We start from the raw sequence: 13,232 nt of genomic DNA, 5'->3' as shown, positions 1-13,232 counted from the left end.
AGCCCACAGCAGAGCCAGCACACGTGTGGCCACGCCCCGGCCCAGCCCCCCCTCACACGTGGCCACACCCCCTGCCCAGCCCCCTTACATGTGGCCACACCTCCGATCAGCCCCCTTCCACACGTGGTCACGCCCCCTGTTCAGCCTCCTCGCACATGACCACGCCCCCGTCCAGCCCCCGCACACAGGGCCACTCCTCTAGCCCAGCCCCTCACACGCGTGACCACGCCCCTTAGTCTCCTCGCTCGTGGCCACGCCCCCTGCACGGCCCCCTCGCGCGTGGCCACACCCCTGTCCAGCCACACACACACACACACACACACACACACACACACACACACACACACGCTGGGCCACGCCCCTACCCAGCCCCCTCACACGTATGGGCACGCCCCTGCTCAGCGCCCTCACACGCATGGCCACCCCCCGTCCAGCCCCTTAACGCGTGCTGCCCCGTGCCCACCTACAGCGGCCTCCTCCGCACCAGGGCTGACCCAGTGTGGGGTCCAGGTGGGCTCTGGTAGGCCCCCGGGCAGAGCTGTGCCCCGCGTCACTGAGGATGCACAGAGAAAAAGGAAGGGGCGGAGGAAGCGGAAACCCGAGCAGCGCTGCCTGGGCGTGGCAAGCCCGCTAGTTTTCCCGCCCGCTCATCTGCTTTCCCTCCCTCCATAATAAGTGTGGCACCTGGAGTGTGTGACTTTCATGATTTTCTTTTAGGAGAAACATAACGCAGTCCTCTGTCCCGCCCCTCCTGCAGGGAATGGTCATGGGGGCGTAGTTAACCCCATGCGTGCGGAGGTACACCTTGGAGCCCAGCGCCGACACAGGTCAGGAGAGTGTTAGCCACTGCTGAATGACTCCTGTTGTGTGCAAAATTGTTTTGACTTTTAAAGACTACACACAACCCATTCTGCCATTATTTAGGGTGAATTATACTGCTGGGTCACAAGAAGAAGACGTGGCTCCTCTTGATGCTGAGGGAGGCCTGGAAGTCATTGCTGGGAGCTTGGGAAGAGGGCTCCCCGAGGCAGAGCCTCCCAGGGGACAGAGGCGGCCCAGCGATGACCTGGGAGGTGAGCACAGGTGTGCGGGGCCCCTCGGGGCCCACCATAAGGCCCCACAGCAGGCCCTAACCTCCCCCATGTGTCCTAAGGCAGTTCCATTTGCATTGGCAATGGTCATTTCACTACTTCTGACCTGGAAGCGAGGTATATGTTTGGAGGTGACACGAGGCTCCCAAAGGGGTGCTATAGGGCGCCTTTTCTTATTTTATAAAACTTACATCGAAATGAGCCGCACCCTGAGGGGCAGCCCACCTGCTCACCCCTGGAGGGACTCTCCCAGGGCTGAGGGTCTTCCCCAGATGCTTCACCCGGGCTCCTCCAAGTGTGGGGTGGCCTTCAGTCTGCTGCGAAGAGGATGTGGGGTGTCTGGCAGCCACTCTGCTCTGGATTTGCGGGAACCTCTGCTGCCTCCCTGGTGCCCCTTGATTGGCGCTGGGTCTAGGAACCCCCTCTGGGTTGGAACTGGACTTGAAAAGGTCATTTTCTGCCTGCACCCACCAAGGCCACCTGGGGCTGTGGAGCCAGGAAACCCCTGTCACTCTCCTCAGATGCTGGCCCGAGGGCACCCTCAGTCTCCCTGAGTCCAAATCACCTTTTCTTCCCAAATGACCCAGCAGCCTAGGCCAGCCCCAGCTGGAAAGACTGCTCCCCTCTCTCCTCCGCTCTGCTCCCCTGCCCTCTCTTCCCCTCCCCTCCCTTCCTTTCTTCTGCTGGCGGAAGTCCTGTGCCAATCCCACATCCACATCCGTCACTGCACTCCTGGATCACACCTGGACAGACACAGAACTAGTCCTGGGAGTGATCCCAGGGCCAGGACCCTAGTAATGAGTTATCTAAATGTCTCTGGGTGTCTGGAATTGGTTCTCTGCTCCAACTAGCTTTAAAGGCATTCACGCTCTGTTCCCAGGGGTACCAGGGTGCTAGCTGCCCACAGGAGTAGCATACAGGCACTCAGATTGCCACCTGCAGACATCTGTAATCAAATGGCCATAGGATGCCTGGCCCTGGGCATCAAGGGAAAAATTTAGGGGTGTAGCTGGGTGGGCGGATGCTTCTAAGTGTGCTGGAGAACTTGGGGAAAAAGAGAAAGGCCTCCAATTTAGCCCCCAAAGTCCCAGGCAAACAGGGACACTTGCCATAACAGGTGGAGACATTCCCCAAAGGCTGGGAGGCAGAGTGGAGGCATCGCCAGGACCCCAGCCCTCTGCTGCCTCTCCTGTACAGAGGTACAAAGTCCCAGGCCCCAGAAGGAAAGGGAAGGAGATCCCCGAACCTCTGCTCCAGCTAGGACCTCACTGAGGCCCAGGTGGTGTGACCCTCCACCTACCAGCCAGCCCGGGGCCCGGATCACAGCGTGGCCACTCCTCCTGGGGACTTCCCTGGCCTCCCGCTCCCCTCGCCAAAGCTGCGGGTGAAGCAGCTCTAGCCCACCCTAGCTAGCCATTGTCCAAGGCCAAGGCCCGCCTGTCCACCTGAATACCCAGGGTCCAGGGTAACCAACCTGATCCTAACCCAACCCTGCAACAGGTAGCTACATAAATCAGCACAGACCCTACCCCACCCCCAGACACTTAGAGAGGCATTCGCTTTATCCACCACAGGGTGATGGGAGCTGCTGTCAGAGTTCTCGCCAGACCCTCCCAGGGAACCCCAGACTTGGTTTCAGCAGGAACCACATGTGACCCTGGATGAGCTGACCCCCATCACTAGGAAATGTACCTTAAGTCAGAAAAGTATTCACACTTTGAGTCCCCTCAACTTTGGCTGAACTAATAGCAATTACATTAAAAATGTGTCTGCCCTTCATCTTCTTTGACTTTGATATTAAATATCTCTACTAATAACTCAGTTGCCTAAAGTCGTTACTGCTACCTCATATTTAATTAGGCCCAACCTGGCCACTCCAACCATATAGGAGACTCAGGCAAGAGCTCAGATGTAGGCTCAGGTTAAAGTTCCAGTGTGGATTCAGGTGTGGGCCCAGGTGCAGCCTCAGGTGTAGTCTCGGGTGAGGGCTTAGGTGCAGCCTCAGGTGTAAGCTCAGGTTAAAGTTCCAGTGTGGGCCCAGGTGCAACCTCAGATGAGAGCTCAGGTGTGGGCTCAGGTGCAGCCTCAGACGAGAGCTCAGGTGTGGGATCAGGTGCAGCCTCAGACGAGAGCTCAGGTGTGGGCTCAGGTGCAGCCTCAGACGAGAGCTCAGGGGAGGGCTCAGGTGCAACCTCAGATGAGGGCTCAGGTGTGGGCTCAGGTGCAGCCTCAGATGAGAGCTCAGGTGTGGGCTCAGGTGCAGCCTCAGATGAGGGCTCAGGTGTGGGCTCAGGGTGAGAGTTCAGCTTGCTGCTTGGCATGTGAACCCCAGGCCTACCCTTGGCTTTTGAGCTAGTGTCTGTGCCTGGGCTTTCCCGCGACCATGGCGGTGCATTCAGCACTCACAGTACCGCATTTGCCTTCACAGCGGTGAGTGCACGCATTGCCTTAGCTCCCATTTTTACTAGTGAATGTAACAATTAATTAAATAAATACAATTACTAATGAAACCAATGGTAACAATGCTGATGATGGGTAGTTTTAACAACTCATCTGATTAAGCCGAGAAGCAGTTCAACAGCAATGAGGGCAAGGGAGCGGCCCCAGAGATCCACGCCCTCCCAGGCCTCCCTCGACAACAAGGTCTGCTCTTCCCCCACAGCGGCCACACGGGGGCGCCGCAGGACAGCGCGGAGTGGGCCGGGAGAGGGAGGGGAGCGAGGAGAGGGATGGGGTGGGGGGGCCGGGAGAGGGAGGGGAGCGAGGAGAGAGGGAAGGGGTGGGGGGGGCGGCCAGGAGAGGGAGGGGAGGGAGGAGAGGGATGGGGGTGGGGGGGCCGGGAGAGGGAGGGGAGCGAGGAGAGGGATGGGGTTGGGGGGCGGCCAGGAGAGGGAGGGGAGCAGAGAGAGGGACAGGTTGGGGGGGCCGGAAGGGGGAAGGGGGAAAGAGGAAGGGGAGGGGAGGGGAAGAGAGAAAGAGGGGCGCTGGACAGGTACACGAGGAGGGGAGAGGGACGGGGAGGGGGCTGGGAGGACCGAGAAAGGAGGGTCGGGGGAGGGGTAGGAAAGAAGGACCAGGAAGGGGGTGGGAAGGGGGTGGGGAGTGAGGAGCATGGGGGGTGGGGGGCGAAGGGCGGGGTAGGGGCCCTGGGGAGGTCGGGGAGGGGGGTAGGGGGCAGTTGAGGTCAAGCAGGCCAGGGAGCTGAGCGGTGGCCAGGGAGCTGAGCGGTGGCCGGGGAGCTGGGGGATCCCGGGTGCCTTTGGAAGCCCTGAGGGTGTTCTTCCAGGGTGGGCGGGAACCTGCAAACTTCAGGGCCCCCTGGCAGGGTGCGGAAGGACCCCGAGGGCAGGAGTGTCTGGGCAGCCCTGAGGCAGACAAAAGGAAGCCCCTTGGGAGAGGTGGGGGTCTCCCACCGTTCCTGAGGCTGCCCCCACGGCCTGCAGGGAAGGGGGTCCCAGGTGACAGTCGTGTCCTGTGTCCTGACAGGGTCAGATGCTGGGAGCTGCCCGATGGCAGGGGTGGGCTGGGAGCCATCCTGAAGTCTGAGCTGGGTGGGTTGTAGCGACGGTGCCAGCCTTCCCTTCTTCCTCTTCGGTGGCCACATTTTAGTAGCCATGCGACCAAGCGAGGTCACTGCAGGGTGGCCCCTCTTGTGCTCATATAGGGACACCTGTGCACAGGCTCCTGGGGTGGGTGGCACTGAGGGCAGGGGCGTGGATCCAGAACACAGAGCCTCCCTGCGACCTCCCTGCCCTGGGCCCCAGAACTCACCCACCCTCTGGGCCCCAGCAAGCTCCCAGCCAGAGGTGGCCTGGCAGGCGATGGGAGAAGGGCAAGGTCAGGGCCTTGTGCCCCCTGCCTGGGGCCTCAGGTGTTCCTGTGATTCCCCCACCCACAGCGCCTGAGACCACCGCCCCATAGTGCTGGGCAGAAGGGGTGGGGAGGGGCACCTGCTGTCAGCCCGAGGCGGCCAGGCTGCCCACCCAGGAGGCCCCCAGAGCCCCTGCCCCACTAGAGGAAAGCAGATTCCCCAAACCCATCCCAGGACGAGGCAGGCTTGGGCCCTCTGAGTCGGCGTGTGGGGCTCCTGCCACCCTGCAGTTGCGCCCCCGGGGCCCTGGACTCCAGTTTCTCCTGGGACCCTCGTCCCTGCAGTTGGCCCCTGAGGCCCTGGATTGGGGTTTCTCCTGGGACCCCCGTCCCTGCATTTCGGCCCCTGGGACCCTGGATTCCAGTTTCTCCTGGGACCCTCGTCCCTGCAGTTGGGCCCCTGAGACCTGGATTGAGGTTTCTCCTGGGATCCTCGTCCCTGCCGTTGGGCCCGAGACCTGGATTGGGGTTTCCCCTGGGACCCTCGTCCCTGCAGTTGGGCCCCTGAGACCTGGACTGAGGTTTCTCCTGGGATTCTCGTCCCTGCCATTGGGCCCCTGAGACCTGGATTGGGGTTTCCCCTGGGATCCTCGTCCCTGCAGTTGGGCCCCTGAGGCCCTGGATTGGGGTTTCTCCTGGGACCCTCGTCCCTGCAGTTGGCCCCTGAGACCTGGATTCAGGTTTCCCCTGTGTGGGCAGCAAGCCACCCAGGCACCGAGGCAAGACACCGAGGACACGAGCTGTTCCAGTATAATAAAATATAAAACAAGAATAGTTATACCAGATATAGATCTTAGATATGATTATATATGAATATCATTAATCATTAGTTGCTAGTAATTACTCTTTATTCCAATATTATAATAATCCTCGCTCTACAATCATAACCTAGGAAAAACCAGGCCATACAGAGATAGGAGCTGAGGGGACATAGTGAGGAGTGACCAGAAGAGTGCGAGCCTTCTGTTATGCCCGGACAGGGCCACCAGAGGGCTCCTTGGTCTAGCGGTAACGCCAGCGTCTGGGAAGACACCAGTTGCCAAGCGGACCGTGGTCTAGCGGTAGCGAAAAGTGTCAAGGAACAACACCCGCTACTTAGCAGACCAGAAAAGGGAGTCTCCCTTTCCCCGGGGGAGTTTAGAGAAGACTCTGCTCCTCCACCTCTAGTGGAGGACCTGACATCAGTCAGGCTCGCCCACAGTTATCCGGAGGCCTGACCGTCTCCCTGTGATGCTGTGCTTCAGTGGTCACGCTCCTAGTCCGCCTTCATGTTCCATCCTGTACACCTGACTCTGCCTTCTAGATAGCAGTAGTCAAATTGGGGAAAGTACTAAAAGTCTCTGATATGCAGAAATAATGGCGTGAGCTGTCTTTCTCTTTGTCTCCTCTCTCTGCCTCGGCTGCCAGGCAGGGAAGGGCCCCCTGTCCAGTGGACACGTGACCCACATGACCTTACCTATCATTGGAGATGACTCACACTCTTTACCCTGCCCCTTTTGCCTTGTATCCAATAAATAACAGCGCAGCCAGACATTCATTCGGGGCCACGACCGGTCTCCGCGCATTGGTGGTAGTGGTCCGCAGGGCCCAGCTCTCTTTTCTTTTATCTCTTTGTCTTGTGTCTTTATTTCTACACTTTCTCGTCGCCACACACAGGGAGAAGCCCACCGACCCTGTGGGGCTGGTACCTGCACCCCTGGGACCCTCGTCCCTGCAGTTGGGCCCCCGAGGCCTGGATTCTGGTTTCTCCTGGACCCTCATCCCTGCAGTTGGGCCCCCGAGGCCTGGATTCTGGTTTCTCCTGGACCCTCATCCCTGCAGTTGGGCCCCCGAGGCCTGGATTCTGGTTTCTCCTGGACCCTCATCCCTGCAGTTGGGCCCCCGAGGCCTGGATTCTGGTTTTTCCTGGACCTTTGTCCCTGCAGTTGGCCCCCGAGGCCCTGGATTGGGGTTTCCCCTGGGACCCTCGTCCCTGCAGTTGGGCCCTGAGACCTGGATTGGGGTTTCTCCTGGGACCCCCGTCCCTGCATTTCGGCCCCTGAGACCTGGATTGGGGTTTCTCCTGGGACCCCTGTCCCTGCAGTTGGCCCCCGAGGCCCTGGATTGGGGTTTCTCCTGGGACCCCTGTCCCTGCAATTGGGCCCTGAGACCTGGATTGGGGTTTCTCCTGGACCCTCATCCGTGTCACCCGCAGGCTGGCTGCTGTCTCCAGCCTCTGTGCAGGGTGGAGCCTCCTGGGGCCGCTGGGGTCTCCATCGGTGCCCGGTAAGCAGAGGGTGCCGGGTTGGGACAAGAGGTTCTGCTGCTTCCCCTTGAAGCCCCCGCACCACCTGCATCCGAGCCCACCACAGCTGTGTGGGAGAACGCCCCCCCTGCCACTTCTCCCCCGCACACCCCAGGGGTCCAGGCCAGCCTGGCAGGCAGAATCTCTGGGCTGGCCCCCCTCCCCACCAGGGGCCCTGGACGCGGTTTCCCCTTTCTACAGGGCAGGGCTTCCCCAGTCACAGACCCCAGGGTCTCCCCAGGCAGTTCCCAACCTTCCAGGACCCTCAGGGCTGACCCTGCCTGAGAGGCCGGACAGTCGGACCCAGACACTGCCACTGTCAGGCCCCCACCTGGCTGGGACAGCCGGGAATCCCAACACCCCCGCCCCTAGGAAATGGAAACTGGACTCTTTTAAAATGAAAATCCAGTGTGTGGCTTTGAGTAACAGGAGAGTTTTCTGTCATCTGCAATGGATAGAATTTCTCAAACCCAGACAAGCTCAGAGCCCCACCGTGGCCTCCCACCCTCTGGATGAGAGGTGCCAAGATCCCTCCAGAGGCTACACTGAGGCTGGAGGGAAGAGGGAGGGCGTGACAAGCCAGTCTCAGTGGGGGCTTGAGTCTTTCCTGGAGAGAGGTAAGTGGCCTCTTCCACAAGACCCCTGGGTCCACACAGGAGGGAGGTTAATTTGCACCTGACACGGAGCCGGAGCCAAAGCTTCCTCTCCTATCCCAGGAGCCACACATGGCCAGGAATTCGGAATCCCCAAGAGGGAGCTCTCCCCAGGGGAAGAAGCGGTGGGCGTGAGGGGCCCCTGCAGGGTGGAGGGACAGAAGGACCGGCCCAGGTTTCTCTCACCTGGAAACCTCCCCTAGGTGGAGGGCTGCGTGGCTGGCTTTGCTTGGTTTTATTGAAGTTACACACATAGGAAGAGGCTGGAGCACACAGGCACAGCTCAGGGCAGACCCACAAAACCAGGGGCAAGAGACAGGAGGGGCTGAGCTGCTGGCGGGGGCGGGGTCTCAGAGGTGAGGCGGGGTCTCGGAGGCGGGGGGCGGGGTCTCGGAGGCGGGGGGCGGGGCCTCGGAGGTGAAGCGGGGTCTCGGAGGCGGGGGGCGGGGCTTCAGAGGCAGGGGTCTCAGAGAAAGGGGTCTCGGAGGTGGAGGCGGGGTCTCGGAGGTGGAGGCGGGGCCACGGAGGCGGGGCGGGCATCTCAAAGGTGGGGTTGGGGGGTGTCTCAGAGGTGAGGCGGGGTCTCAGAGGCAGGGCGGGGTCTCGGAGGCGGGGGGCGGGGCCTCAGAGGCGGGGGTCTCAGAGAAAGGGGTCTCGGAGGTGGAGGCGGGGTCTCGGAGGCGGGGCGGGCATCTCAAAGGCGGGGTTGGGGGGTGTCTCAGAGGCGAGGCGGGGTCCCAGAGGCGAGGGTTGCCTGAACTTCGGGGCGTCACACTTGCTGCGGGTAGATCCCGGGGTTCAGCCGACACATGCACATCAGCCAGAAGACGCACACGGTCATGGACACCCAGATCCAGAAGTCCTCGTAGGGCTCGGCGTGCGGCCTACGGCAGGCACGGCCAGGGCGCTCGTCTTCCTCCCGGCGGCACCCACAGCGGGCCTTGTGGAACCTGGACCTCAGCTGCCTCTTCTGGTAATAGCCTTGGGAGAAGCAGCCATTGCCCTGGGGGCCGTAGGCAACGTGGCCACCGCCCTTGCGCTTTATGACATCGAAGACTGCGAAGGGGATGGTGATGCAGCCCTCACTAACCGTGATGGGGCCCTCGGCATTGGCCTCCAGAGGGGCGTCGTGACCCGCGGTGACCAGGCCACCTTCCTTCTCTTTGCCTTCAGTGATGTCAGTAAAGGCATCTTTGCCTTGGACATCAGCAGGGAAGGGGAGGGCAAGGGAGCCCTTGACCTGGGAGGGGAGGCCACCAGCATTGGTCTCTGGCAGGGCGTCGTGACCCACTGGGACGAGGCCCTGGCCGCCTCCTTCCTTCCCGTTGCCTTCAGCCACCTCAGCAACGGCATCCTTGACATCAGTAAAGATGAAGGGGAAGGTGATGGAGGCCTCTTTAGTGGCCACAGGGCCATCGGTGGGCTCCGAGAGGGTGTTGGTGAAGATGCTGGTGAGGGAGGAGGGGAAGGTGAGGGAGCCCTCCCCGCTGGCCGAGAGGCCCACACAGTAGAACACGGTTGGCGTGTGTTTCCCCACAGGGACGAGGCCATTGTTGAGGGAGATGGGGCCCCAGCCCTGGGCCACGCCAACCGGGCTGCAGAGGGAGCCCCGGCCTTTGAAGAGGAAGCCCTTGAGCTCGAAGGTCTGGATGCTGCTGCCGAGGAGGCCGGGGCCGTGGAAGAGGGGGTCTCCAATGGCCACCGGGAAGCCTTTGCCCCCAGGCATGGCCACTGAATCCCCAGACAGGAAGATGGAGCCCTGGCCGATGACCAGGGCCTCACAGCTGCCAGTCACAGGGAGAGAGGCCCCCGCAGGGGGGGCAGGGCCCTCAGCGATGGGCACCTGGTCATTGCTGGTACCCACAAGGGAGAAGGGGATGGCGATGACAACGCCACCCTTGCCAAGGTCGTCGCCAGGGGTGGACAGCGGTTTGCCCCTGGAGACGGTGCCAGTGCCACCCCAGGCCGTGGCGGGGAAGTTGCCTTTTGTGGCGTTGGCGCTCCAGGCGGGGTCTGGGGCCTTCTGGAGGAAGCAGACCCCCAGCTCACAGGCCTCACAGCAGCCCTCATAGGCCTCCCTGGGGTGCCGGGCTGGGCCGGGGCCATCCCCGTAGCAGTCCTGCAGGATGTGCAAGACCAGCCTGCTGAGGAAGGGCTGCTCGCCCGGGGGCCTCACCTGGCAGTCCCCGGGTGCGGGGCACAGCCTGCACCGCTGGCCCCAGATGCGCATCTTCACCAGCCCCCGGTGGCTGGCCCTGTCCCACCACAGGTGGAAGAGGACGTGCACATGGGCCGAGTCCCAGGTCCCCGGACAGTGACCGCACTGGAGCCTGCGGCGGGGAAAGAAGTGTGTGTGAGTGCAGGAGAAAGAGGCCCCACGCCCAGCCCTCGCACTCTGCTCTGCGGCCTCCTTGCCCATCCGACCCCAGCGCCTCGCTGCCCCCTGCCTCACATCCCACACTCAAACCTCAAACCTCACCCCCCAGCCACCCAGGGCCGCGGCCAAGGCAGCCTAGCACCTGCTCCTGCCTGTGCCGAGGCTCTGAAACCACCAGCCCCTCGGCCACACACAGGCAAAAGCAGGCCCATGCGCACTAGCCCGCAGCCCCCTCATGTGGAGCACTGAGAAGCAAAGCAAACCTCCTCTCAGCAGTTTTTCAACAAAACCCGCTCCAGCCTGGCCTCCGTGAGGCGTCGGCAGCCTGCCACCTGCGTGGCTCTGCTGGTGTTTTGTGAGTTGGGGTTAACACAGGAAGAGGCAGGCCTGCCGACACACTTAGGAGGGGAAAAGCATGCATGTGGGGGCTGTCCCTGGGGGCTCAGCAAGTGGGGGTCCCTGTCCTGACTGAGAGGAGGCGATCCAGGAGGTCGCCTGCCAGCTGAGGGGAAGGATGTCACGGAGGCCTGCGGTCATGGCCCGGGCAGCCCTGCTGGGCGTCACCAGGCGAGGAGAGGTTTGGGGAGAGCACTGGGAGGGATTGGCTTGTCCATGGCGGTCATCAGACCGGTGACCATTTGCTAGCCACACAAGCAGCTGTGAGCTTCAGGGAACCCTGCATGAGTGAGAGGCTATGATTCAGTTCCAGGCAGTGGAAGTTTCTGGATGACAGAATGTTCTATAGCCACACTGCCCTGCCTGCAGCCTCCAACCACACTGGCCACAGAGCCCGTGGACACGTTCGTGCTGGAGGAACTGAACTGCTGACTTTATTTAAATGGGACTGAGGAGCCAAAGCCACGGGCGCTGGGGCTGCATGTTGGGGCAGCCGTCCTCAGTTCTCTCCCGCCAGCTGGGAGCCGCTCAGAGCCATCTCCACCTGGCTGTGGGAACAGTGATGTGCTTCCCAGCACTTCTCAGACCCCAACACGGGTTATTACTTTCCCAGCTTCTGAAAAAGCTGGGATTCTGCACACACCTGGCCCCAGGGGTCTCAGGCACTGAGGAGCTGTGTCAAAGGGCAGGACGACTCCCCCTTTGCCCAGGGTGTCTCCACAGAGGGACGGACCAGCCAGCAGCCTGGGGGCCTGTCAGGCCGGGCATCTGCGAGGATGTGGAGCTGCCCCGCGCCCCTCCCAGCTGGCACCCGGCCGAGCTGTGGATGCCTTGCCAGTTGGAGAAGCGCATGGCGCCCGCCCTGCTGCGCTGACGGCACCACAACCGTGATGACGGCCTGTGAGGCTCACTTGTGACCCACAGCCACCCCGGGCCCCCGATCAGGGCCGAGCACCCCGCTGTGTGCAACACAGGGCCGGATGGTGACCACAGGCTCCGGCACGCCCCAGGGCCCACCTGTCAGCACTGATGGCTGCGAGACCACGGCAGTGCCATGGAAGCAGGAGATGAGCCTGTGTCCAAGGGCAGCGCTGGCCCAAGGAGCCGAGTGAGGGAAACCAAACTCTCCATGAGGCACCCGCCATGTCTTCCCCGGGACCCCTGCGTCAGCAGCCGTGTGCCCAGCATGGCGAGGCAGGGGCTCCGGCGGGAGAAGGAGCACCCAGCCCCACCCTCCCGTCTCGGGGACAAGACGAGGCCCAACAGCCCCACCCAGCCTCTGGGACCACCCAAGGTCCCGTGGAAAAGCACCTTCAGCCCCCTGCCTCTCCCAGGGTCCCCAACCTCTGGCCGCACCTCGAGAGCCCCACCAGCAGGTACTGGACACCACCGCCGTCCAGGCATCCCGGGACCAGGCTGTGCTCAGGTAGCAGAACCCAGACGTCCTGGGGCTTCCTCTCGGCCATGGCCAGGGTGAAGGTGCTGGCCCACATGTCTGCCCCAGCCCGGTCCATGCTGCCGCCTGGCTCCGCAGTGTGGGCTGAGGGCTGCGCCCGCCGGGGGCCCAAGGAAACGTCCCCGCATCCCGCGCCGGCCAATCAGCCACCTTGACAACAGCATGGTCTCCATGGCAACCAGATTTGTCTCCGAGAAATGGGAAGCAGAAAGGAAAAATACAATACAATGCAATCTCCCATGACCCCGCCCCCCAGAGAGCATCCCTGTGGCAGCACCGTGGTGGTGGTGGTGGGCGTGGGCCCGTGGACACGCAGGGGCCTCCCCAGACCCGTGCGTGTAGAGGCCCGGGTGTTTTCACACATCGCACCAAGGAATCATCCACAGCCCTCTCTTTCTAGTGCACATCAGGAGCGGTGGCCCACACTCATCCCTTGCTGAACACTTGGTATTTTTCCAGCTTGTGGCTATCATGTAACTTATTCACTCAGCTTCTCTCTGCAAACAGCACTAATGCTTTTCACACAAACAAAGCTGAGAAGAACTTTATAGAACGTGTATCATTGCAGATTGTCCCGTGGGTGTATTCTCTTAAACTTTTTACTAGTGAGAAATATAAAATATTTACATAAAATGCCTAAAACATAAATGCAGAGCTTCACAAATTATTCTAAAGTCTTAAGTCACCACGTCCTATAGGAAGAAACAAAACCTCGCTCTGCCAGCCTCCAGAGCTGGCTGCCTGTTCCCTCCCGATCTCAGCCCGCGGCCCCACCCCCACCCCCTGCCCTCCTGGCAGAGGTGCCACCAGCCTGGCCGTGCCTGCACAGACAACGTTGAGGCTTCAACACCTATGATGCCTCCCTCACCGAGCCCTTTAGCTGTGCAGCTTCTGAGCTTTACATAAACAATTCATGCATGTGCCCAGCTTCTCACGCCTTTTCAGGTTGTTTAATTTCTGAGATTCAACAGCATTGCTGTGCGTGGCAGCCACCTGTCATGGCACAACAAGAAAGGGTGAGCTGAGAAGGAGCCGGGACGTGCAGGGGCGGAGACAGCCAGCTGATCCCTGCAAAACCTCAGCACAGATCTGCCCCCGGGAGGCT

The 13,232-nt window shown here is 61.5% G+C and overlaps 1 protein-coding gene and 2 long non-coding RNA genes across 3 annotated transcripts in view, besides 2 other annotated features; 1 reads left to right on the top strand and 2 right to left on the bottom strand.

The window, feature by feature from the left end:
• LINC01237 (long intergenic non-protein coding RNA 1237) overlaps window positions 1–579 on the bottom strand; it is a 197,360-nt gene extending 196,781 nt beyond the window's left edge. Inside the window, exon 1 of the long non-coding RNA NR_110220.1 lies at window positions 464–579. This is a non-coding gene — a long non-coding RNA (long intergenic non-protein coding RNA 1237). The remainder of the gene's footprint in view (window positions 1–463) is intronic.
• Window positions 559–1,149: an enhancer, noted in NCBI's record as "H3K27ac-H3K4me1 hESC enhancer chr2:242822944-242823534 (GRCh37/hg19 assembly coordinates)". NCBI's record gives its function as "activates a minimal SCP1, AML or CMV promoter by ChIP-STARR-seq in naive H9 embryonic stem cells {active_cell/tissue: H9 hESC(naive)}" and the evidence as "EXISTENCE:reporter gene assay evidence [ECO:0000049][PMID:30033119]".
• Window positions 615–2,908, top strand: LOC105373978 (uncharacterized). The gene is made up of 3 exons (XR_924077.3): window positions 615–827; window positions 925–1,073; window positions 2,666–2,908. It is a non-coding gene; the product is annotated as an uncharacterized LOC105373978 (long non-coding RNA).
• A 5,210-nt stretch (window positions 2,909–8,118) lies between these two features.
• RTP5 (receptor transporter protein 5 (putative)) lies at window positions 8,119–12,213 on the bottom strand. The gene is made up of 2 exons (NM_173821.3): window positions 12,028–12,213; window positions 8,119–10,228 (listed from the first exon to the last, which is right to left on the bottom strand). Exons 1-2 carry the CDS (start codon window positions 12,183–12,185, stop codon window positions 8,668–8,670), a joined length of 1,719 nt encoding a protein of 572 aa, NP_776182.2. The 5' UTR covers window positions 12,186–12,213; the 3' UTR covers window positions 8,119–8,667.
• Window positions 9,573–10,129: an enhancer, noted in NCBI's record as "H3K27ac-H3K4me1 hESC enhancer chr2:242813965-242814521 (GRCh37/hg19 assembly coordinates)". NCBI's record gives its function as "activates a minimal SCP1, AML or CMV promoter by ChIP-STARR-seq in naive H9 embryonic stem cells {active_cell/tissue: H9 hESC(naive)}" and the evidence as "EXISTENCE:reporter gene assay evidence [ECO:0000049][PMID:30033119]".
• Window positions 12,214–13,232: the final 1,019 nt, after the last annotated feature.

This window comes from Homo sapiens, chromosome 2, assembly GCF_000001405.40.
Source record: "Homo sapiens chromosome 2, GRCh38.p14 Primary Assembly".
In the NCBI taxonomy this organism is placed as follows: Eukaryota; Metazoa; Chordata; class Mammalia; order Primates; family Hominidae; genus Homo; species Homo sapiens.
The sequence above is the reverse complement of the archived record's forward strand: the minus strand, read 5'-3'. Positions and strand labels throughout refer to the sequence as shown.

Bases quoted from the DNA above. Each gene is read 5' to 3' on its own strand.
- RTP5 (NM_173821.3), bottom strand. From the start codon at position 12,185: ATGGACCGGGCTGGGGCAGACATGTGGGCCAGCACCTTCACCCTGGCC. The intron at 10,229-12,027 runs GTGCGGCCAGAG...TCCCCGCCGCAG, and splicing joins CTGCTGGTGGGGCTCTCGAG to GCTCCAGTGCGGTCACTGTC.